Source organism: Homo sapiens, chromosome 16 (assembly GCF_000001405.40).
Source record: "Homo sapiens chromosome 16, GRCh38.p14 Primary Assembly".
Lineage (NCBI taxonomy): Eukaryota > Metazoa > Chordata > Mammalia > Primates > Hominidae > Homo > Homo sapiens.
In genome coordinates this window covers 85,466,619-85,489,284 of record NC_000016.10, presented here as the reverse complement: position 1 = coordinate 85,489,284, position 22,666 = coordinate 85,466,619, and the positions used below count along the sequence as shown (strand labels likewise).

Genomic DNA, 22,666 nt, shown 5'->3' with positions numbered 1-22,666 from the left:
CAACAGCCCATCCAGGATGGGGAGGGGCTGGCTGGGGGCAGGGAGAGGGTCTCTGACTCCAGACCTGAGCTGTCCAGTAGAATAGCCACAGGTGATGATTTCAATTCAAAGTTAAGCTAATTAACATGAAATAAAATTAAAATTCCATTCCTGCGTTGCCCAGGCTGTGGGTAGCTCATTGGTAGCACACGGGACGCTGCAGACATGGATACTTCCCAGCATGACAGAAAGGTCTGCGGACGGCAGCTCTGGACCCGCTTCTCCTGGTGTAATTTGTACCATGTTGCCTCATGGAGCGGGAAAGAATCACTGCAAACACTAACAACTTAAAAACGAAAGGCCAGGGCTGTTGATGGCCCTCATCCCAAATCTGACCCCCGGGGGGCTGTTAGAATGGGGGGGTCTTCTGCTGTTTCACCTTCCCTCTCTGGCCACACTGTCCAGGAAATCACCCACCTCTGATCCCCCCGGTCCCCAGACGAAGAGGCCCTTGCCTAATTCTCTGGTGTGCTCAAGCTTCTCCCAGAGGCAGCTCAAGGTCCTCCTCCAGTCTCCATCACTCTGTCCTCTGCTCTCCACCTCACAACTCCTGCACATCCTTCGAAACCCAAGTCCAACTTCATGACCTCCGGAAAGACTGTTCCTGAGGCACCTTGAACTTCCTCTCTTGTGGCACTTTTCACCGAGAACCTGAGTGCCTGGTGCCTCTGCCCTTCCCTGTCTGGCTGTGAGCATTTCGTAACCAGTCAGTTCAGTACCTGGCAGGAACAGGGAGCTTGGACCTGCTGAGAGAGGAATAAGCCAGACTTGCAACAAGACCCTGCGTTTCTAGAGCTTAGCCATGCAGAGAGCCCCGTAGGCTGTAACGTGCTGGCTGTGCGAATAAATGAATGTGCGACAACCACAGATGGGAACCAGGTCCCATCCTCTGTTTGTACTCTGAGCATACTCCTAAGCACACAATAGGAGCTTAATAAACGGAGGCGGGCAGACAAGCTGAATTAAGTGGAGAAAAGACTGCAAGAGGACGAGGATGCTAGATGGGGAAACTGAAGAGCTGGAAGGACCAAGAAGAAGATGAGGCAGCAGGGCCCATGTCCCCTGGGAGGAAGGACAGGCCCTCCAGAAGCCAACCCCATCACTCGGGTTTTCCTCCGCTTCCTTCCTGGCTGCAGAGGGAAGCATGGCCCTGCAAGGTCACAGCGAGGACAGCCACAGACTCCAAGACGTTCCCCCAGATTCCCCTTGTCTGGTCCTGCTAGGAGCCTCCATGGCCAGGCAGTGGGGCTACCACTGCTCTGCAGAGCCCAGAGGAGTGACTAGTGGCACTGGGGTATAGCCCTAGAGGTGCCAGGGGCATCAGTGATGGGTGGGTCACCCTTGCCCCGAACCACCCTTTGTGAGGCCAGGAGCCACGGCCTTGAGGGACCACCAACTGAGGCGGAAAGGGCACGTTAACCGTGCAAGGTCACACAGATGCCTGCCTTGAGCTCCACCATTCCAGAATGAGCAGTGGCCTGGACGACCCACCTCCTTCCCCCACCACCGCCCATTTCCCGAGGGCACAGCCCTGGCCCCAAGCCCCCAGCTCCCTGCTTCTATTCTGGGGTCGCCATCAAGGTTGTATCGCGGGGTGATTCCCATCCTGGACTTGGGGACCTGGATTCGAGAGCCTGGCTCTGCCGTTCTCAGCTGTGTGACCTGGGCGGGTCACCTAGCCTCTCCGTGCCTGTTTCCCATCTATAACACAGATAGAAATAAGGGGAATAATGTGGTCACTGTGGGCTCACATCTTCCTGGCTCATAACGAGGCCTCAGTGTTTATGAAATCGGCCTGCCCAGGTGCGAACGTAGACCATGCGAGGGTTCTCAGGCCCTCGACATGCCTGTCACAGCCAGGAACACTCTACAGACCCCAGAGCTCAGTTCTGCAAAACCTGAGCTCTAAAACACTCCTCTGTATCCACGGGACGTAGCTCGCCACGTGACGGGAGGAGACGCAAGGCTGTGAGTGCAAGGCAGACTCAGTCATTTTTGTAAATGCAGAATTTTTCCTGGGGGGGTGAGGAGGTGACACCCAGTGAGAGGCTATTTGTATCCATGCTCACCTCGAGCAGGACAATCTCTTCTGCTCCCGTTTTGCTTCCCCTCTTTTCCCAACTGGACAGAGAGCCCATCCGCTGGGGCACGGCAGCCTCTGGAAGCTTCTGGAATTCTTGCCTTCCAGCATGGCCCAAGGCCTCCCTGTATCAGAACCCCCTGGGGTACATAGCAACCACCCGTGAACCCCAAGTCCCTGGGGTGCCTATACTGAGGTGGGCACAGGGCTAGGCACAAAATGACCACTCATCAGTAAAAAACTATACTTTCGCCTGAATCCTGCAGCCTATGTTTAGCAACAGCTAAACTCATCCCAAGAAATGCGCACTGAGCACCAGGCACCGGCGAGGCCCCAGCCATGCCGGGAGGGAGGGAGAGGGCTCTTCTCACAAGCCACGAACGGGGGGCTGGGGGAACCCCCGAGAACAGCCTGTGCAACAGGACAGATGCCCGCTCCGTCCCGGGCATGGAGAGGCTGCTGGAGGCGGCAGGAGAGAGGGCGGGACGGCGCTCCCACCATCCTCGCCAGGGCAGGAGTGGGACGAGGCTGGGGACCAGGGCAGGCCTCTCAGGGAGAGAGGAGACTCCACACCACAGGAGCCGTGGACGGTTCCACACAGAGGCAAGGCCTTATCAGTTTGGAATCCTGAAATTCTAAGACAGGAGACATGCCACCCCCGAACGGAGCCACCTAGTGCCACTTAGCGGCTGCAATGTCTTTTTGATGCCTGCCATGCCAAGGGGTGGGAGCTGTGCTGCCAGGTAACGGCGGCCCTGGGCAACGCCGGGGAGAACAGGGGAGGGTCCCTGCTGCCCTTGGAAGGCTTCCCGGGCTCGTGTGCACGTGACAACATGCGTGCAAGAGCAGGAGTGTGCGTACGTGTGTGTGAGAGCAGGTGACAGCGTCCACCTGTGAGTATAAGGGAGCATGTGAATGAGTGTGTGAGTGTGCAAGCGTGTTATGTGTGAGTACAGAGAGAAGGGGAGAGGGAGAGAGGCAGGCAGGGAGGAAGGGAGTAGGGAGGGAGAGAAGAGGAAGAGGAGGTGAGGACAGAAGCTGCAATTGGAGGGACTGGGCATGGGGTGCCCCCAGTTGGCAGGGCTGCACCTGAGGTGGGCACCCTCACTGCACTGAGCTGCCGTTACGTCCCCATCTGTAGAATGGGGCCATGACACCCCCTAGCAGGCTTCTGGGCCAGAACAGGGCCCCTATGGAGGAGAGGCAGCGGCCAGTGCAGGCTCATGGCCTCAGGGCCGGGGTGAAGGGGCCTGTGCTCCCTCTCTGTGTGTGTTTGGGGGAAGAACATCGGTGTTTCCCGGAGCAGCAGCTCCCAGCTCCTACCTGGGGCCCGGGTTGGGTAGGGGCTGCAGGGGGAGGGCTGCTTCTGCCTGCCTGCCATCCCTAGGGAGGGTGGCATCAGGCTCCCCAGGAGCGAGGCGGCCCAATTACAGGAACAATTACGGGCACACTGATGCACAGCCGGCCGCCTCGGCGCCCACCTCGCGAGTGACAAGCTGGCCCGGCGGGCTGCGCACGGCTTTAATCCGAGGAAGGCTCTCGAGTGCTAATGGTGCGAGCAGGCTCATTAGCTGTAATCCATCTGTCCTTAACGCGGCGGCGGCGGCAGCCGGGCCTGCGGGATGAAGGATGATGCCCTCCCAGAACGGCAGGCGGCAGGCGCCACAGGCAGAGCCTGAGCAGGGGCCATGCCTGGCTCCCTCCTTTGCCGCCCAGGAACATGAAATAAAGGCAGAAGTGAAGGCACAGGGGAGGAAGAGGAGGAGGACAGGGCTCCCCACCGCCCCTGGTGTGACAGTAGCTGTACAACGGCTGCACGGGACCTGGCCCACCCTGCTGTGTGACTGCAGGCTCCTGTCTCTCCCTCTCCGGACCAACGCCATTCTCTGGGAAAATGCAGGGCCTGGGATCCATGCCTCTGGGCGCGGGAAACCGTGAGTGGGTGGCCCTGGGGTGCCTATCTCCGGGCACAGGCTGTCGCTCCACTTCCTTGGGAGGTGTGGTGGCGTGAACGCTGCCCGGAATGTTCCAGATGGTTTTCTGACAACCATAAATCCTGCTTTTGTCTGTGGTGGCGGAAGTGGCCCTACCGCACCATCTGGACAACGGGTAGCCTGGCAAGGGGCGATCACTGTTGGGTCCCCAGGGCCTGGCCCCGGGCCTAGGACAGGTGCTGAGGAATCAAGGCTGAATGAGGGCTGAGCAGGCAGGTTCCTCAGGCTAGATTCGGGGTGCAGCCCATGCCCAGGGCAGGCACAGGGTGAGGCAGCACCCACATGGCCATCACAGTGGAGGCCAAAGACCGTGAACTGGAAACGGGGCCCAAGGAGACAGGTAAGGCAGGGGAGCTGGCTACAGAAGAGGGGCCACCCCAGGCACAGAGCCGGCGCATGGAGCAGAGGTGGAGTGGCTGAGAGGGACTCTGTGCCAGGGCCCTGGTTTTGAGTCGGGGCTCTGCTGTGCAATTGAAGGAGGTTACTGAGCTTCTCTGCGCCTACTTCCCCAGCTGTAAAAATGTGGGAAATAACAGCCCCTCCCTCAGGAGACACGTAAGCTGCTGTGCAGAAAATCTGTTCCAATGGGCCTGGCCCCTGAAGCACCAATGGTGGCCCCTGCTGTGTCGCGGAGGCGTCTCCCTGGCTTCGTCACTCAAGGGCCACTTCTGTGGTTTCCGCCACGGCTGTGTACACCCTGCCCTGTATTATTTACTTACTCCTTCAACTCCATCTGTTGTTTCTGGTCTGGGTTTTGGAGGGATAATTTATATCAACTAATTTTTAAAAACTAATTTATCTCCAGAAGGAACCTGTCGATCACTGGCAGAAATGGGAATCCAGGCTCCCATCTGAGTCCTGCTGGCTATGCTGGCTCTGAGCGCAGACCCCTCTCCTGGTTCCCAGGGGACCCGCGGAGGAGAAAGGCAGAGAGGCAGGTGTGTGGGACCCACTGGCCCCTGGCCACGTCTTGCTCACCGTCCCAGTTGGAAGACTGTTAGGATGGAAAAACCTCACTGCGGTTCTATGAAGGGGCATATTCCTGCACGGCATAACTGGTCCGGGAGCCACATAAAGTCACCAAGTGTGGGACGTCATCCTACCGCGAATCTGAGGGTCTTCTGGGGTAACCCCAGCTCTGCCTCAGTTTCCCCATCTGGAAAACAGGGACGCACCTCTCGGGGAGGGTCGCTGAGGAGGTTTCCTCCAACGCTTAGGTCTGAAAGTCCCCCACTGTCCCAGCTGAGAGGATGGCAGCAGAGTTGTACCCGTGACGGGCAGGGCCCAGAGGCCTGCTGGCAGGGGACGGTACACCGAGGACTGCAAGCTCCCCAACATTCTTCAATTATTCACACAATAATCACACCCTTATTTAAAGTCTAGCCTTGCATTCGCAGCATCCCGGCGGCAAGCACCGAGCCTGCTGCTAGGTTTACACGGGGACGGGCTCCCTCGCTCAAAGTCAATTAATTAAGCAAACGCTTTTGCCAGCATGTTCTCAGGTGTGCGGCCAGGAGGCCCATCCGTCTCAGCCCGCCGCCTCGGAGACACTTGATCCCACAGGGCCTACCAAGAGGGCGGAGACAGTGGCCGGGGGCCTGGGCATCGCCTGGTGGAAGAGAAGGGAGCAGAAACAACTGTTCATAGGCTTCATGGAGCACTTGCTGTGTGCTGGGCTGCGCTGGGCCACGGGAACTAGACAGGCTCTCACAACCCTCGTGGCCAGCCCCTTAGCACCCCAGGGTACAGGTGGGGAAACTGAGGCACAGAGTGGGTGAGGGACTTGCCCAAGGTTGAAGGTCACAGAGAAGGGGACTCAACTCCACGTACTCCCCTCTGCCCCGTTTCTGTTCTCGCTCTCCCATGACCCACCCAGGCAGGGAACAGCGGGAACGACAGCTGAGGCTTCCTCCTCTGAAAGCTCGGGACAGAGAGCCTCGCTTTTTCAGGTTTCAGAATGTTTGCATGTATTAATACACAGTGAGATGTCTTGGGGATGGGACCCAAGTGTAAACAGGAAATTCATTTCTGCTTCATATACACCTGATCCACATAGCCAGAGGTAACTTACACAATACTTTGAATAATTTGTACATGAAATAAAGTTCATGTGAAGTCCTTATGTGTGGAATCTTCCAGATGTAGCGTCGCACTGCTACACAGAGAGTTTGGTATTTTTTTTTTTTTTTTTTTTGAGACGGAGTCTCACTCTGTCATCCTGGCTGGAGTGCAATGGCGCAATCTTGGCTCACTGCAACCTCTGCCTCCTGGGTTCAAGCGATTCTCCTGCCTCAGCCTCCCAAGGAGCTGAGATTACAGGCACCCTCCACCATGCCTGGCTAATCTTTGTATTTTTAGTAGGGACAGGGTTTCGCCATGTTGGTCAGGCTGGTCTCGAACTCCTGACCTCAGGTGATCCGCCCTCCTTGGCCTCCCAAAGTGCTGGGATTACAGGGGTGAGCCACTGTGCTCGCCTGAGCTTTGTATTTTGGAACACCTTGGATGCTGGATTTGCAGACGGGGGTGCCTGATCTGTACATACAAGCAAAACACACACTTCAAAACAGAGGCTGGCACTGAAGACAGATGTCCCATCCACGTCACTCACGTCGGTTCTCATATTAAGCCCCCAGGTAAGGACTGTTGTTACCAGGATTTTATTTGGGGGGGGAACTGAGTCACGTGGAGGCTGAGGGACCCGCTGCAGGTCGCGGGTCGCTCGAGTTGTCAGAGATGGGCTGGGGGTCTGAATCCAGACCACCTGACCTGGTCCCTGCTCTGAAGCCAAGTAGAGCCTTTCTAATCCCCTTGCAGGGCAGCTTGAAGCACCCACGCCCTCCTCCAGGAAGCACGCAAGTGCGATCTCTCACCTGGCAGGACTGGGCACACATCCGAGCACCCCCAGTGCCAGTGAGTCCCAGCATGTTCTGGAGGGTCCTGGAGCTGGACCCTCACCCACTGTCTCCCATCACCCACGGCTCTTCTCCAGCCGACAGCACTGGGCATCACCTGGAGACACTGAGCATCATGCCAAGGCCTCCCTCCTACAGCCGCCTGGGTCCCGAACAAACATGACAAGTTGGGTCGTCCACAACAGCGGCTCCCTTCATGGGTGGGGACATGAAATCCAAAGGCCGAATGACTGAGGCCAGATGGCCCGCCTGCAAGGGGCGTAGTCCCGGCGAGGGCATCGGCCACCCTGCCCCCAGGGCCTTGAGGAGCAGGCCGGTATGGTCCGTCGGCGGCTGAGAATGTGGATGCCGGCTGGAGGGCTGCCCTGCACCCCAGCTCTGCCACCTCTGCGCCGTGTGACCTTTTAGGTACATCACAAATAACATCTCTGGGCCCCAAAACATGGTCTCACAGGACTATCTTCTCACCTTTTCCACGCTTCTCACCACATCTCCCAAAGTGCCGGGCATTGGGCAGAGTCCTCCTAAATGCATTTGCTCTGGCGGCAGAATTAGCGACACCCAAGGTCAAAAGGAGCTGCTGGGCCCTGTGTCCACCTGCTCGTCTCAGCTCCTGGAAAGTGACCACATCAAGCACTTCCAGAAAACGGACATCAATTGCCCAAACCATGGCACACACACAGGACAGAAGATTCCAGCCAAACAAAAGCATCTCAATCAACTCCCCACCTGGAAGGAAGAGGAGCCATCCACAAAGAACTAACTTCAATTCCTTGGCAAGGTTCCTCTTACATGGATTGCCCTTCTCTCCCTACCACCTCCTTCTAGAAAACTCCTATACACCCCTCAAAACCCTTCCTAAGCATCAAGCTCCTCTGTCCCCAGAGTTAACCCCTGCCTCTTCCCCTCTGAGCCTGGTACAAGCTCTCCCATGACAAAAACCACTGACTGTGCTATGCGCTTTACATGGTTTATCTCAGGAAATTTTTCAAAAAAAGGAGGTGTCTTTTATCTCCATTTTACAGAGAAAGAAACTGAGGCACAGAGTGGCTACACCAGGTGCTGAGGCTGGGTGTAAACCTGGGAAGCCTGGCTCTGACCTCAGCTGCTTGGGGATGGACCGGGTGGGGAGAGAAGCGAGGCGTGGCTGTCCCAGGAAGAGCAGGTGTCAGGGCCGGTTGGAGAAAAACGCCGAAACCGAGGCCGGAGGCCGAGCGGCCCAGAGAGGGAGCAAGGGCAGATTAAAAAATAAAACTGAAATCAGAGCAAAGGCAGCACACGCTGTCCCAGGAGGGGGTGGAAGACCTGCGGTTCTGCACGCGCTGCTCCCTGGGGGCACCGCCGGTGCTTGCTCAGCGTGGAGCCCAGCTGCTCCGGAGTATTATTTCAGGAGTGCAGGGAGGCAAGCAGAGGTCTCTGGGCCTCAGGTCAAAACTTCAGGGAGCAGGCGCTGGGATGTCAGGCAGAAAAATCAGACGGTGGGGATGGGGGCCCTGGACCTGACCGACAGTGCTGGCCACCCAGTCTGGCCCCACATCTTCTCAGGGACCTTGGCCACCCCTGCCGCCCGCCACACCTGCTGGGAAGGCAACACCCAGGGTGGATTGTCCCTGCTCTGTCTCCCAGGAGGGCAATCGGACACCAAGCAGAGGAACAGGTCCGATGGGCCATGTGATTTGTTCTGGGTGGCGGGGGAAGGTGGGGGCTCCACTGGGCCTCCCAGGACAAAGAACGGGTGTCCCTTCAGCAGCTGCAGTCACAGGAGTGTCGAGGCCCAAGAGGGCTCAGAAACAGGGTGGAGTGGAGGTGGCGGCAGAGCTCACCAGGGACCCTGGAGCAGGCAGAGGGGGGTGGAGGCTCACACTGGTGCCACGCGCGCCCCCTGCCGCAAGGCCAGGAAGCAAGCGAGATGCAGAAGACGTCGCCCAGGAAAACTCCCAGTCCCGCCTCACCCAATGGGGCCCTGGAATTTCCCTCCATCCCCATCGAAACACTGCCTCTCATGCAAGTGGTACAATGTCAGGGTCACGCTGTAGATTCTGGAGCCAAACTGCCTGAGTCTTACTCCTGGCTGGGGCCCTTGAGGCCGATGACCCTGGCTCCTTACTTCACCTCTCCGTGCCTCAGTTTCATCATCTAGTAAATGGGAACAGGACGTTGAGGATGTTGTGAGAGTCAGTGATTTCAACCAAGTGCTGGGGACCGGCCAGGAACACGGGCAATGGCAGAGAAACATCACCCGTCGTGCATCATGGCCGCTGTGTGGCCTCAAGCACCTTGGGTCCTTTCTGAGCTTTGGGTCCTCAGATCTGAATCTGAACACCAGGCATGGAGAGCTTTGAGGAGAAAACAAACCTCGATGCTGCAGAACTATAAGCCACTGGGCCCGGGCCTCAGTTTCCCCACTCTGTACTAGGAATTATGACAGCCCCACTGCAGAGCTGCTTGGGCTTCTGTGAAGGGTTCAGGCCGGCACCTGGCACACAGTGACACATGGAAAATGTTCACACGGCAATGGGACGTCCCCAGCCAGCCCCTCGCTGCGCTCAGTGTCCCAGCACCAACAGGAGGTTTCCTGCACAGAGAAGGGTTGGTGAGCTAAAAACCTCGACACTCAGCGAATTGAAAACATAACGCCCACACACAAACTCATATAAGCCAGGCACGGTGGCTCACACCTGTAATCCCAGCACTTTGGGAGGCAAAGGCAGGCAGATCACCTGAAGTCAGGAGCTTGAGACCAGCCTGGTCAACGTGGAGAAACCCCATCTCTACTAAAAATACAAAAATTGGCCAGGCATGGTGGCTCATGCCTGTAACCTCGGCACTTTGGGAGGCTGAGACGTGCAGATCACCTGAGGTCAGGAGTTTGAGACCAGCCTGGCCAACATGATGAAACCCCATCTCTACTAAAAATACAAAAACTAAGGCCGGACACAGTGGCTCACGCCTGTAATCCTAGCACTTTGGGAGGCCGAGGTGGGTGGATCACGGGGTCAGGAGATCAAGACCATCCTGGCTAACACGGTGAAACCCCGTCTCTACTAAAAAAAAAAAAAAAAAAAAAAAAATTAGCCGGGCATGGTGGCGGGCGCCTATAGTCCCAGCTACTTGGGAGGCTGAGGCAGAAGAATGGTGTGAACCCGGGAGGCAGAGTTTGCAATGAGCCGAGATCGTGCCACTGCACTCCAGCCTGGGCGACAGAGCGAGACTCCATCTGGAAGGAAGGAAGGAAGGAAGGAGGTAGGGAGGGAGGGAGGGAAAGAAGGAAGGAAGGAAGGAAGGAAGGAAGGAAAGAAAGAAAGAAAAAAAAAGAAAGAAAGAAAGAAAGAGAAAGAAAGAAAGAAAGAAAGAAAGAAAGAAAGAAAGAAAGAAAGAAAGAAAGAAAGAAAGAAAGAAAGAAAGAAAGAAAGAAAGAAAATAAATGAGCGGGGCATGGTGGTGCATGGTTGTAATTCCAACTACTTCGGAGGCTGAGGCAGGATAATAACTTGAACTTGGGAGGCAGAGGTTGCAGTGAGCTGAGATGGAGCCACTGCACTCCAGCCTGGGCGACAGAGCCAGACTCCACCTCAAAAAAAGGAGAAAAAAAGAAGAAAAACCTTATGCAAGAACGTTCATGCCAGCATCATTCTTGATACCCAAATGGTAGAGCTAGCCCACATGGCCACCAACTGAAGAATGGACACACTGGTCTGTCCATGGCAGGCCATGGAATTTTTTTTTTTTTTTTTTGAGACAGTTTCGTGCTGTCACCCAGGCTGCAGTGCAATGGCACGATCTCAGCTCACTGCAACCTCTGCCTCCCACATTCAGGTGATTCTCCTGCTTCAGCCTCCCGAGTAGCTGGGACTACAGGTGCCCGCAACCATACCTGGCTAATTTTTGTATTTTTAGTAGGGACGGGGTTTCACCATGTTGGCCAGGCTGGTCTTGAACTCCTGGTCTCAAGTGATCTGCCCGCCTCGGCCTCCCAAGGTGCTGCGATGACAGGCATGAGCCACCGTGCCTGGCCCCATGCCATGGAATATTCCTCAGCCATAGGAAGGTAGGAAGTACTGACGCACGCTGCTGCACGGACGAACCGTGAAGATGCAATGCTTCCTGGAAGAAGCTGGACACAAAAGGTCACACAGTGTGGGAGGTCCATTTCTCTGAAATGACCAGAACAGGGAAATCCACAGACAGAAAGCGGATGAGTGGATGTCCGAGGCCAGGGTGCAGAAATGAGGAGCGCGGAGTGACCGCTAATGGGGAGGGGGATTCTTTCTGGAGTGACGGGAACGTTCTGAAATGAGGTCGTGATGACTCAACACCATGGGCCTGTACACTTGAAAAGGGTGAAATGCATGATATGAGAACTTCATCTCAATAAAGCTGTTTGAAAAAACAAAACCCTAGGCCGGGCGCGGTGGTTCACACCTGTAATCTCAACACTTTGGGAGGCCGAGGCGGGCGGATCACAAGGTCAGGAGTTCGAGACCAGCCTGGCCAGCATAGTGAAACCCCGTCTCTACTAAAAATACAAAAAATTAGCCGGGCATGGTGGCGGGTGCCTCTAATCCCAATTACTCAGGAGGCTGAAGCAGGAGAATCACTTGAACCCAGCAGGTGGAGGTTGCGGTGAGCCGAGATCGCGCCACTGCACTCCAGCCTGGGCGACAGAGCGAGACTCCATCTCAAAAAAAAAAAACAAAAAAAAAACCTAAGACCTTTTTCTGCAGCTGGAAAGTGACCACCGAGAGCCCAGTAGGCCGGAGGGGCTCACAGCATTCACAATAAGGAGGTGAGGGGTGCCGAGCAGACCCAGCTGGCTGTGGGCATGTTTGACTGTGGCTGGGGGGCACCCTCCTAGGTGGGCAGCACACACAGGAAGGGTTCCTAGGGTTTTAGTTTTGGCCAAAGACTCAGGATGTACATTAAACAAAACGCATATTCGGAATCTTCACTGAGCAGCTCCTGTATACGTGTTTTGGGCACCCGGGACAGGCTGTGGAGCCAAAGCCCACCCAGTGCCCCCCGGGGTCAGCTCCAACTCAGCAAGAAGTTGCACAGGAATCAAGAACCACATATACATCCCAGCACTTTGGGAGGCCAAGGCAGGCGGATCACCCGACCACCCTGGCCAACATGGCGAAACCCCGTTTCTACTAAAAATACAAAAATTAGCCAGGCATGGTGGTGCGTACACCTGTCATCCCAGCTACTAGGGAGGCTGAGGCAGGTTCAATCACTCGAACCTGGGAAGTGGAGGTTGCAGTTAGTAGAGATCACACCACTGCACTCCAGTTGGTCAACAAAGCAAGACCCCAGCTCAAAAAAAAAAAAAAAAAAGAACCACATACGATGCCAGGCATGGTAGCTCACACCTGTAGCCTCGACACTTTGGAAGGCCAAGGTGAGAGGATCACTTGAGCCCAGGAGTTCAAGGCCAGCTGGGGCAACACAGTGAAACCCTGTCTCTGCTTAAAAAAAAAAAAAAAAATGGTCAGGCGTGGTGGTGCACGCCTATAGTCCCAGCTACTGGGGAGGCTGCGGTGGGAAGATCGACTGAGCTGTGATTGTGCCAGTCAACTCCAGCCTGGATGCCAGAGTGACCCTGTCTCAAAAATAAATAAATAAATGAAAGAATTACATCATCACAGTGGGTCAGCCAGGAACAGCATTCCAGGCAGTGGGAACAGCACGTACAAAGGCCACAAGGCGGATGGAATATAATGAACCAAAAACGGCTGGTGACCCAGGGAACAGAAGGCATGGGCAGCAACCGCCATGAAGCCATGATACACGGAGTTTAAAGCAGACGTGAGTTCCAGGATTGCTGGCTGCCTGCCTTATCTGGGACTGTCATATGCACGTGTATGGGGGGATTAGAAGACCCCCAGAAACCTCACCATCCCTGAACGTCAACCCAGCCTCGGCAGGTGCCTGCAAGTTGCCACAGGAACTCCCACCCGATTCCACTGAGCGCCATCCCAGGTCTCCGGGAGCCCATCGTGTTCTTAAAAGCCCGCAGGCCTCAACAAAAGGTGAGGCACGGTGGCTGACGCCTGTAATCCCAGCACTCTGGGAGGCCCAGGCAGGAGGATCACTTGAGCTCAGCAGTTCGAGGCCAGCCTAGGCAACATGGCGAAATCCCGTCTCTACAAAAAATTTTAAAAATTAGCTGGGCGTGGTGGCACGCAACTGTCGTCCCGGCTCCTGGGGAGGCTGAGGCGGGAGAATCATCTTAGCCTGGGAGGCAGCAGTTGCAGTGAGCCAAGATCGTGTCACTGCACTCCAACTCGGGTGACAGAGAGAGACCATGTCTCAATAATAACAACGATAATAAAGAAGTGGCCGCTGCGATGGCTCACACCTGTAATGCTAGCGCTTAGGGAGGCTGAGGTGGAACGATCACTTGAGCCCAGGAGCTTGAGACCAACCTGGGCAACAGAGTGAAACCCGGTCTCTAGTATTAAAAAAAAAAAAAAAAAAAAAAAAGAAAAACAATTAGAAGAAACATTCCCCCAAAGCTCCTGCCTCCTCTTTCTTCCCAGTACAAGCAAGATGCTCCAGTTCCCTCTGGAGAGGGCCCCTGGCCTGGGAAATTTCAGGCCTCGACCCCTGGACAGAGGCCCTGTCACTAGATTTACAAGGCCCAGAATTGCCCAGGCACTGCAGACAAAACTGAGGCATGCTACAAATAATCCAGCTTCTGAAGGCTGGAGCCAGCATCGTGATAAATCATCACTCTTTGGCACAATTACAGGATCCAGGCAGCAGACCATCTCCACCTCGGCATGGCCAGGCTGGAGGGACAGCCTGCCCTTGCCTGCTTCAGGACACCAGGTGCCTCTACAGGACAAACACGGTCCGCCTGCCTGCATCCCGCCCTAGCCTTTGGGCTATGGGCTGGTGATGTCCCACCCCACCCAGGTACAGGCAGCCCTGAGGGGCCCCCAGCACTGATCACAGATTCAGCGACGCACTTGTCTGTACTTGCACTGCTCTGCAAAGCGTCCCTCCCCTGCTGCCCCTGGTTTACAGGAGGTGGGGTGGGGTCTGGGCTGGTGGAGGCAGGGAGAAAGAGAAGGAAAGGAGATGGAAAAGTTGGGGCCTTGTCTGAGAGGGGCAGGAAGAGAAGGGGGCCAGCAGGGACTGCCCGTCAGAGCAGGGTCAATTAACCCATCGGGGAGTGTTATTACAAGGCACAATTTATCGTCCCTGGGCCACATTAGTGGTAGCACAGAGGACATGGGGTCGCCCTGACTGCATCAGGAGATAAACTGGAGACGTCTGGAGAACAGGGTGGAGGGGCAGATTACAGTGAAATTCAGACGCCAAGGTCCTGGCCACGAATCTGTCAGTACCACGGGGTCTGTCCAATAAATTAGAGAAGATAAGGATTGAAGGGTGAAGTATGAAAAGCAACATTCTTTTCGGAAACTGGCACAAGGGCTTCATGGCATCTTTCTTCTCCAGGCTCCCCCTTCCAGGGGTCCTGGAGGCTCAGTTTCCAGGCAGAGAGGAGCTTGTTGGGGAGGAGAAGGTGGGAGTGGGGAGAGGGAGGAGGGGAAGGGGCACAGGGAAAGAGGAAACAAAAGGAGAGGAGGGGGAAGAGGGGGGGCAAGAGGAAAGAGAGAGGGAGGTGGTAAGAGCAAGGGGGACTGGGGGAGGAGACAGGGTGATGGGGACACAGCCCAGGCAAGCACGTTCCCCAAGGCTGGGTCAGGTCATCAGCACAGGCACCCGGGTTTAATTGTGGGAAGTGCCGCAGAGAGGAAAATGAAATGTGACTCCCCGCCGGGGCTGGCATGGCCCCTCTGGCATCCCCACTGCCCGAGGTCCCCCACCCGCCTCCCTCCGTGCACCTCCAGCTGTTCTCCTCTGGCTCCCAGCAACAGCAGCTGCCAACGTGGCAGGATGCGGAGGAGGGCAGAGGGCAGGGCAGGCTGTTTGGGAGAAAGACAAGACAATCAGAAGCCCATTGGAGCACGGGCCGGCGGGGTGGAGGCTGCACTGAGATGCCGGCTCTCCCTGCATGGAGAGCCCAAACCTCTGCCCCCCTTCTCTGTCCCAGGTCCCTGGCCTGGCCTGGCCCAGCACCTCTCGTCTGGACTGGTGCAGGAGCCAGCTCACTGCCATCCCTGCTTCCGCCTCAACCCTCACGTCTCATCCTCCATGTGGCAGCAGAGGACCCATCAGAAGATGGGTCAGCTCATGTTTCTCCTCTGCTGGGAGCCTCCCTATGTCACACCCTGCCCGCCTGTGCTGGTTTCAGGCCTGCTGCCCCCCAGGGCCTTCGGCCCCCAGGCTGTTCGTCTGTCTGGAGCTCTCTCCCAGGCATTGGACCAGCTCCGGCTCTTTTTTCGGAGCTGGTCATGCTAGTGCCTGGGAGAGTGCTACAGACAGACGCTCCCCTGCAGCGCCCTGCTCCCCACCAGACTTCTCAGAGAGGTCTCTGCTGTCCTCCTGTAGTGCTGAATGGTGACCCCCCCTCCGCCCCGCAAAAGACAGGACCATGATCTGTCCTTGGAACCTGTGCGTGTGACTTATTTGGAAAAAGGCTCTTTGCAGATGTGGTTAAGTGAGGGCTCCTGCAATGAGGTGGTCCTGGATTATCTGGGCAGGTCCTAAATCCCACGATGTGTGTCCTTACAAGAAAAGGAGACAAAGCGCAAAGGCAACATGAAGACAGAGCAGGGACATGCGGCCACAAGCCAAGGACCGTGGCAGCCAGGGGGAGCCGGCAGAGGCAGGGAGGGTCTTCTCTCGGAGCCCTGGAGAGAGCCCGGCCCTGCCAGATTTCACACTTCCAGCCTCCTGAACTCGGAGAGAACAAACATCTGTGGTTTTAAGCCCCTCAGTTTGTGATGCTTTGATCTGGCAGCCCCAGGACTCCAACCACCCCCTCAAATCCTGCAGCCTGCCCACTCCCCCACCAGCTCCTGGCCCTGCCCCTGCACTAACTTGGTTTCCACAGCACTTTGCACCTTTCCACTCATCACTTTTATGGTTTATTGCCTGAAACAAGCTCCCCAGGCCAGGGACCTGTACCTTTTACTCAATGCTGTCTCAGTGCACAGGACAGCAAATGGTGCAGTCAGTGACCAGCAAATAGGCCGTGGAACAAAGGACAGTTTCTGCGTGGCCCTCCCGCTTCCTGCTGATCTCCATTCAAATGTCCTCCCTCGAGAGGCCTCCCTTGTGCCCTGCTCCTGGCATCTTGGTGCCGGGCGCACCTCCTGTGCCCCCACCCCAAAACTCCTCAGCCTCCCTCGCCTGTGCCCATGTGGAGAGGAGCCCAGTGGGCTTGGGCCAAAAGCTCTCTGCAGACACACATAGAGTGAGCCTCAGTTGGAGGAGCCATGGCATGGCAGGGTCTGCAGGGAGCCCAGGAGAGGCTGCAGCCCCTGCCCCCTGCCACCACTGCTCTGCAGCACCCTGCTCCCTACCAGAGGTGCCAAAGTCATCTCACTTGGATCCATGTCATGGTGACAGCTTCCCGGATCTTGTCCTTAGCCTTTAGGCCGTTTAAAGTCATTTCCCGGTGGCAGAAGCAGACAGAGCCGCAGACAGCAGCAGGGTCAGACTGAGCAAGGCCTGGGGCTCCAACAGGGGGAGGCCAGACCGGGTCCTGAGCCGCTGCTGAACTTGGAGCTGTGCCGGGCTGCGCTATGCCTCCCATAATGCATGGTCACCCCGTAATATGGCCTTATTTGTAAACAGAGCCTTTGCAGATATAATTAGGTAAGATGAGGCCACACGGGAATAAGGTGGGTCCTAAGGCCAATGAGCTGTCCTTCTGAGAAGGAAATTTGGACACAGAATAGCACAAAGACAGACACTCAGAAAGAAGGCCGCGGGAGGAGAAGGCAGGGACCACGGCAGTGTGGCCAGAAGCCAAGGAACGCCCGGAGCTACCAGAGGCTGGAAGAGGCAGGAAGCTTCCTCCCCCCAGGCCTCCAGAGGGAGCACAGCCCTGCGCACACCTTGATTTTGGACTCCTGGTCTGTAAAGCTATCAAATAATACATTCCTGTGGTTTTAGGCTACCCAGTTTATGGTCATTTATCATGGCAGCCCCAGGAAACATACACACACCTTAAGCAAGGATTTCTCAACAGGGACATTTGGATGGTCTGAGATCCCCCAGGAGACACCTGGCAATGTCTGGGCAGGTGTCTGGTTGTCACACTGGGACAACCAGTATTACTGGTATCTCGTGAGCAGAGGACAAGGCCAACCTACAAAGCACAGGACAGCTCCCAGGACAAAGAAGTATCTGGCCCCAAACCTCAACGGTCTTACGGTGCCTTAAGGTGTAAACACTCATCAGATTTCCCCCATGAGGGGCCACCACAGGTGCCAGCCACAAGTGGGCACTTAACAAATGTGGGCTTAGCCAGGCACGACAGTGTGTGTCTGCAGTCCCAGCTGCTCGGGAGGCTGAGGCGGGAAGATCATTGGGGCCCCAGGAGTTCAAGGCTGCAGTGAGCTATGATCACACCACTGTACTCCACCCTGGGCAACAGAGCGAGATCATCGAAAAAAAGTAAATTAAGAAATAAATGGGCTGGGTGCAGTGGCTCATGTCTGTAATCCTTGTACTTTGGTAGGGCAGATTGCTTAAGCCCAAGAGTTCAAGACCAGTCTGGGCAACATAGCGAGACCCTGTGTCTACAAAAAATGCAAAAAAATTATCTGGGCATGGTGGTGTGCCTGTAGTCCCAGCTACTCTGGGAGGCTGAGGTAGGAGGATCATCTGAGACAGGGAATGGAGGCTGCAGTGAGCTATGGTCTCACCACTGCACTCCAGCCTGGGTGATGGAGTGAGACTTTGCCTCAACAAGTAATAAAGAAAGAAAACTAAATAAATGTGGGCTGAAAGGCCTATGAGCCTGACCTATGGTACCATGCAACCAACATTTACTATCTTCATCTTAAACTGTGACTAAATGAGGTTGGAGCTACGAAATCCTCACATGAAATAAGGTGGCATTGGGACTGGCAGATCCCTACACTCAGCCACCCCTGGAGCTGGGGACCTGCCCCCACCAGAAATGCTGAGAGCCCAGCCTCTTCTTCAGGGCAGCAGGGACTGGGCGTCTCTGGGCAGGGGTCGGGCTGAGAGCACCCAGGGCGAATGGGGGAGGACCGAGCCGTGCACCTCTCACGTGGCTGGGCTCAAGGACATGCCACGGAGGCGTCCATGGAGAGAATGCCTGGCACCTCCTGCTCTGGGGTGGCAGTAGGAGCCCCCAGCGCCCTCCTCCCCACCAGCACCAAGCTTCAGTGGGCCGCGTGTCTGCCAGATGGCAACGCGCTATGTGTCAGGAGATAATCACTATTAAAAATTCACTGGGTTTTATTTTATCTTTGTATTTTTTTCAGGTTCTGTTTGGGCTCTCTGCTTCCTCCTAAAGAAGCTACCAAACTGCCACGGTTACACTGTTTTAATCGCCGCTCATTAAAAGAAACACTGACTGGGTCACAGCGTTTCTCCACCCCAGCAGCTGTGGGGGTAAGGGAAGTGGGCAGGGGGCGGGGGCTGGCTCTCCTGGGCAGCCCGATGGCTGCAAGCGCACCTGCTCACCCCTGTGGAGGAGACCCACAAGGTGCAGCCCTTCCCGGGGCACCCATACAACCCTCCCAGACCCCAAGCTCCCTTGAGGTGCAGAGCAATTGCATTGGGAAGGAATCTGGCCCCATCGGGTGAAGGTTACCAGGGAGATGAGTTTAGCACCCCAACAAGGGGCACCCAAGAAGCCACACATAGAGCATCCCAGGTGCAGTGGCCGGGCATGAAGGGGACCCCAAGGGGCCATGTCACTCGGGAAAGAGACACGGATCCCAGCTCTGCGTCCGGGGCCTCGGGCAAGTCCTGACTTCTCCAGGCCTGAGCCCCAGCTCTGCCCAGTGGTGTGCTGAGCTTAGTCTGGCTGCGGCTGGATCACTGAGGGGCGCCGAGCCCCACAGAGGCACTCCAAGTCAGTGGGAAGACCCCCGCTGGCTGGCCCCAGGTGCCCTCTCACATCAACCGAGGATTCAGGCACCTCCTTGTTCCAGCAAGTTCTGGGTGCCGTGGGCACAGCATGAACAGCCCAGCTGGCTCGAGCTGCCGACTTTCTAGAGGGGTGGGAGGTGATAAAAAGCGGAACATGGATGGGGGCTCCCGCACCCTGGAGCGTGGCCCTCACCCTCAGAGTGAGCACATCCCAGGGAGGGGCCTCTGGGCAGTGGAGGGGGTGGCATTGAGATGCCTGAGGGCCTGGGGTGAGTGGGAGCAGCCCTCCATTTCCACGGTTGCCACTGCGGGGAACCACAGTGAGGATGGGGTCCTGGGGTACCCCGTGCCTGGTCGGGGACTCTGACGGGCCAAGGGCCCTGGCTCCCCCTCCCACCTTGCCTCCCACTCGTGGTGTCCCTAATCCTCTGAGGTTAGGGGACCCGCTTCAGCAGCTGCTGGGGAAAAGGCTGGATTTTTGCAAGGCGCATTTCAGACGGGAAAATGACCTTCCTCCAGTCAGCCTGGCTGATTTCTCCCACCTGAACTGGGGACAAGAGAGGGAAAGTGACTTTCCAGCCTCAGGGAGCAGCAGGACCCAGGTCCCCAAAGCTATGCCCCACAGTACTGGGGGCCTCAGAGTCCACAAGGAACACTAGACAGAATTTTTAACCATCACACATTTTTAAAACATGTAAGGTGGGGAAAAGGTGATGCCCGTGTCCTAGTATTGCCTTAACAAACGGCGACAAACTGGGTGACTAAAAACAAAGAAATGCCCTCCCTCACAGTCCCAGAGGCCAGATGTCCAACCCCGCTCCCACAAGAAGCTCTTCAGGAGGGTCCTTCCTGCCCCTTCCAGCATCTGGTGGGCGCCAGCGCATCCTGGCTTGTGGCCACACCACTCCCATCTCTGCCTCCATCTTCACGTGGCCGCCCCTGTGTCTGTGTTTTCTCCTCTTCTGTCTCTCATAAGGGCCCCTGTCATTGAATTTCGGGCCCACTTCTTTTTTTTTTTTAGATGGAGTTTTGCTCTTGTGCAGGCTGCAGTGCAATGGCACGATCTCGGCTCACTGCAACCTCCACATCCCAGGTTCAAGAGATTCTCCTGCCTCAGCCTCCCGAGTGGCTGGGATTACAGGCCCGTGTCACCACACCCAGCTAACTTTTTGTATTTTTAGTAGAGATGGGATTTTGCCACATTGGCCGGGCTGGTCTTGAACTCCTGACCTCAGGTGATCCACCTGCCTCGGCCTCCCAAAGTGCTGGGATTACAGGTGTAAGCCACCACGCCCAGCCTCTGGCCCACTTTAATACAAGATGATTTTAGCTCAAGAGGCTTAATTAATTACACCTGCAAAGAAACTATTTCCAAATAAGTTCACATTCTGAGGTTCCTGGTAGACGTGAATTTTGGGGGTGGCCCTATTCAACCCAGTGTAGATGGTCAATGCCATCAGCACACTAAGATTAGCTATTCTTCTTCCAGCTCATACTCTTAGACATCAGGAGATGGGGAAAGGCAGCCACTCTTGCCAACATCTGTTCTGCGTGGCTCCAGGCAGGGAGGGGAGAGACATGGCCCTCCTGTTCTCAAAGCTCTCCAAGATGACATCTCTGGGTGGCACAGGCACAGAAGGGCCCTACGAGGGCTGGGGGTGGTGTCTCACACCTGTAATCCCAGCACTTTGGGAGGCTGAGGGGGGCTGGTGGATCACAGGAGGTCAGGAGTTCAAGACCAGCCTGGCCAACATGGTGAAAACCCTATCTCTACTAAGAATACAAAAACTAGCTGGGCATGGTGGCACTCACCTGTAATGTCAGCTACTCAGGAGGCTGAGGCAGAATAATCACTTGAACCCAGGAGGTGGAGGTTGCAGTGAGTTAAGGTCGCGTCACCGCACTCCAGCCTGGGTGACAGAGTGAGACCCCACCTCAAAAAAAAAAAAAAAAAAAAAAGGAAAGAAGGGCCCTACAAGAAGAAGCTGGTCCAGCCCTTCAAGGAGTTAGGGAGGCTGAGGCTCTGAGAGCTTCATACCTTGCCCAAGGTTCTCGAATATTCCCTGTTCCTCTAAGGGCTTTCCCACCTTCTTGTGGTTCAAGGAACCCCAAGTACAGAAACACCTGAGACCCAAAAGGTGGGAATCCATCTCCCATCGGGACCTCTGTCAAGGCTGAGGTGGGCTGTGGCTCTTGGGAGGAGGCCAGGGGGTCACTCCAGGGACACAGTGAGGGATGGGCAGAGAAGGAGCCCTCACTGGCTCGAGAGAAGGCAAGTCTGCAACCCCTGACCCCTCCCACGCCCCATTCTCTTCTGTCCCTCTGTGTAGCTTTCGATGCAGACGATGTCTCAGGTCCCAGCTCAGAGATGTGCTAACATTCACTAAGTTCTCCCTATGCTGTAAGCACACTTCACACGAATCAACTGTCAACTCCAACACCCCTAGCAGGTATGTGGCAGTCCTGAAAAACATCCACAAATTCTTTGACACTCTTCCCATCTGGAGGGGGTATCTCCGTACCTTCCCCTTGAACCCGGGCAGCCTTTGGTGGCTACCACCATAGAAGTGATGCTGCGTGATCCCTTTGGCTAGGTCAGGAAAGGCCACACAGCTTCTACTGGCCTCTCTTGGGACACTGGCTCTGGGAGCCAAGTAAGATGTCCAGCCACCAGGTTGAGAGATGGGGGGATGAAACCAACCCAGCATTCTCACCCCACCCATTTGAGTCTTCCCAGCACAAACACCAGGCACAAGTAGGGAATCGGCAAGATGCTCCCCAACCCAGCCCCCGTCTAATACAACAACATGAGATCCCAGGCGAGAGCTGCTAGCTGCACCCCCAGATTCACCAGCAAACAAAATTTGTGTTCTTGTTTTACGCCAATGTCTTGGGGTAGTTTGTTACATAGCAATAGCTGGCTGGAACAAGACAGGTGCCACCATATTTATTTCCCCTTTTAGAGATGAGGAAACTGAGGCACAGAGAGGCCAAGTGTCTTGCGCACAACCCGTAAGAGGCAGCAGCAGGATGCGAACCCAGGCTGGCTCGCTCCGGCCCCTCGCTCCTTATGGTTCAGTCAGGCAAGGGTGAAGACGCGGGTGCCCACACCATCCAGCAGAGGTCTGCATGCTCGCCCAGCTGCTGGAGGCCAGGGCCCAGGCCATCTACCGCCTACCCTGCCCCACTTCCTACCTGGCCTCTTCCTTTTTATTTATTTTTAAGATGGAGTCGCCCAGGCTGGAGTGCAGTGGCGCTATCTCAGCTCACTACAACCTGAGCCTCTGGGGTTCAGATGATTCTCTTGCCTAACCCTATCAAGTAACTGGGATTACAGGGGCCTGCCACCACGCCTGGCTAATTTTTATATTTTCAGTAGAGATGAGGCTTCGCCATTTCGGCCAGGCTGGTCTCGAACTCCTCACCCCAAGTGATCTGCCTGCCTTGGCCTCCCAAAGTGCTGGGATTACAGGTGTGAGCCACTGCGTTCAGCCATCTTCCTCCCTTCCTTTCTCTCTCTTGCTCTCTTGTGCGCTCTCCCTCTCTCTCCCTCTCTCCCTCTCTCTCTCTATATATATATATTTCTTTTTTTTTTTAATTTGCAAACCTGGAAACTCTGCACGCTTTCCTTACTGGAAGACAAAAGCACAAAT

General features: G+C 55.9%; 1 protein-coding gene across 8 annotated transcripts in view, besides 3 other annotated features; it reads right to left on the bottom strand.

The window, feature by feature from the left end:
• The window catches only part of GSE1 (Gse1 coiled-coil protein), a 506,689-nt gene that overhangs the window by 186,916 nt on the left and 297,107 nt on the right, over positions 1-22,666 (bottom strand). The gene's annotated exons all lie outside the window — the stretch shown is intronic.
• Positions 409-579: a silencer, noted in NCBI's record as "fragment chr16:85522312-85522482 (GRCh37/hg19 assembly coordinates)". NCBI's record gives its function as "represses an EF-1alpha promoter that drives an FKBP-Casp9 reporter gene in an ReSE screen in HepG2 liver carcinoma cells {active_cell/tissue: HepG2}" and the evidence as "EXISTENCE:reporter gene assay evidence [ECO:0000049][PMID:32094911]".
• Positions 13,414-14,268: an enhancer, noted in NCBI's record as "H3K4me1 hESC enhancer chr16:85508623-85509477 (GRCh37/hg19 assembly coordinates)". NCBI's record gives its function as "activates a minimal SCP1, AML or CMV promoter by ChIP-STARR-seq in naive H9 embryonic stem cells {active_cell/tissue: H9 hESC(naive)}" and the evidence as "EXISTENCE:reporter gene assay evidence [ECO:0000049][PMID:30033119]".
• Positions 14,269-15,124: an enhancer, noted in NCBI's record as "H3K27ac-H3K4me1 hESC enhancer chr16:85507767-85508622 (GRCh37/hg19 assembly coordinates)". NCBI's record gives its function as "activates a minimal SCP1, AML or CMV promoter by ChIP-STARR-seq in naive H9 embryonic stem cells {active_cell/tissue: H9 hESC(naive)}" and the evidence as "EXISTENCE:reporter gene assay evidence [ECO:0000049][PMID:30033119]".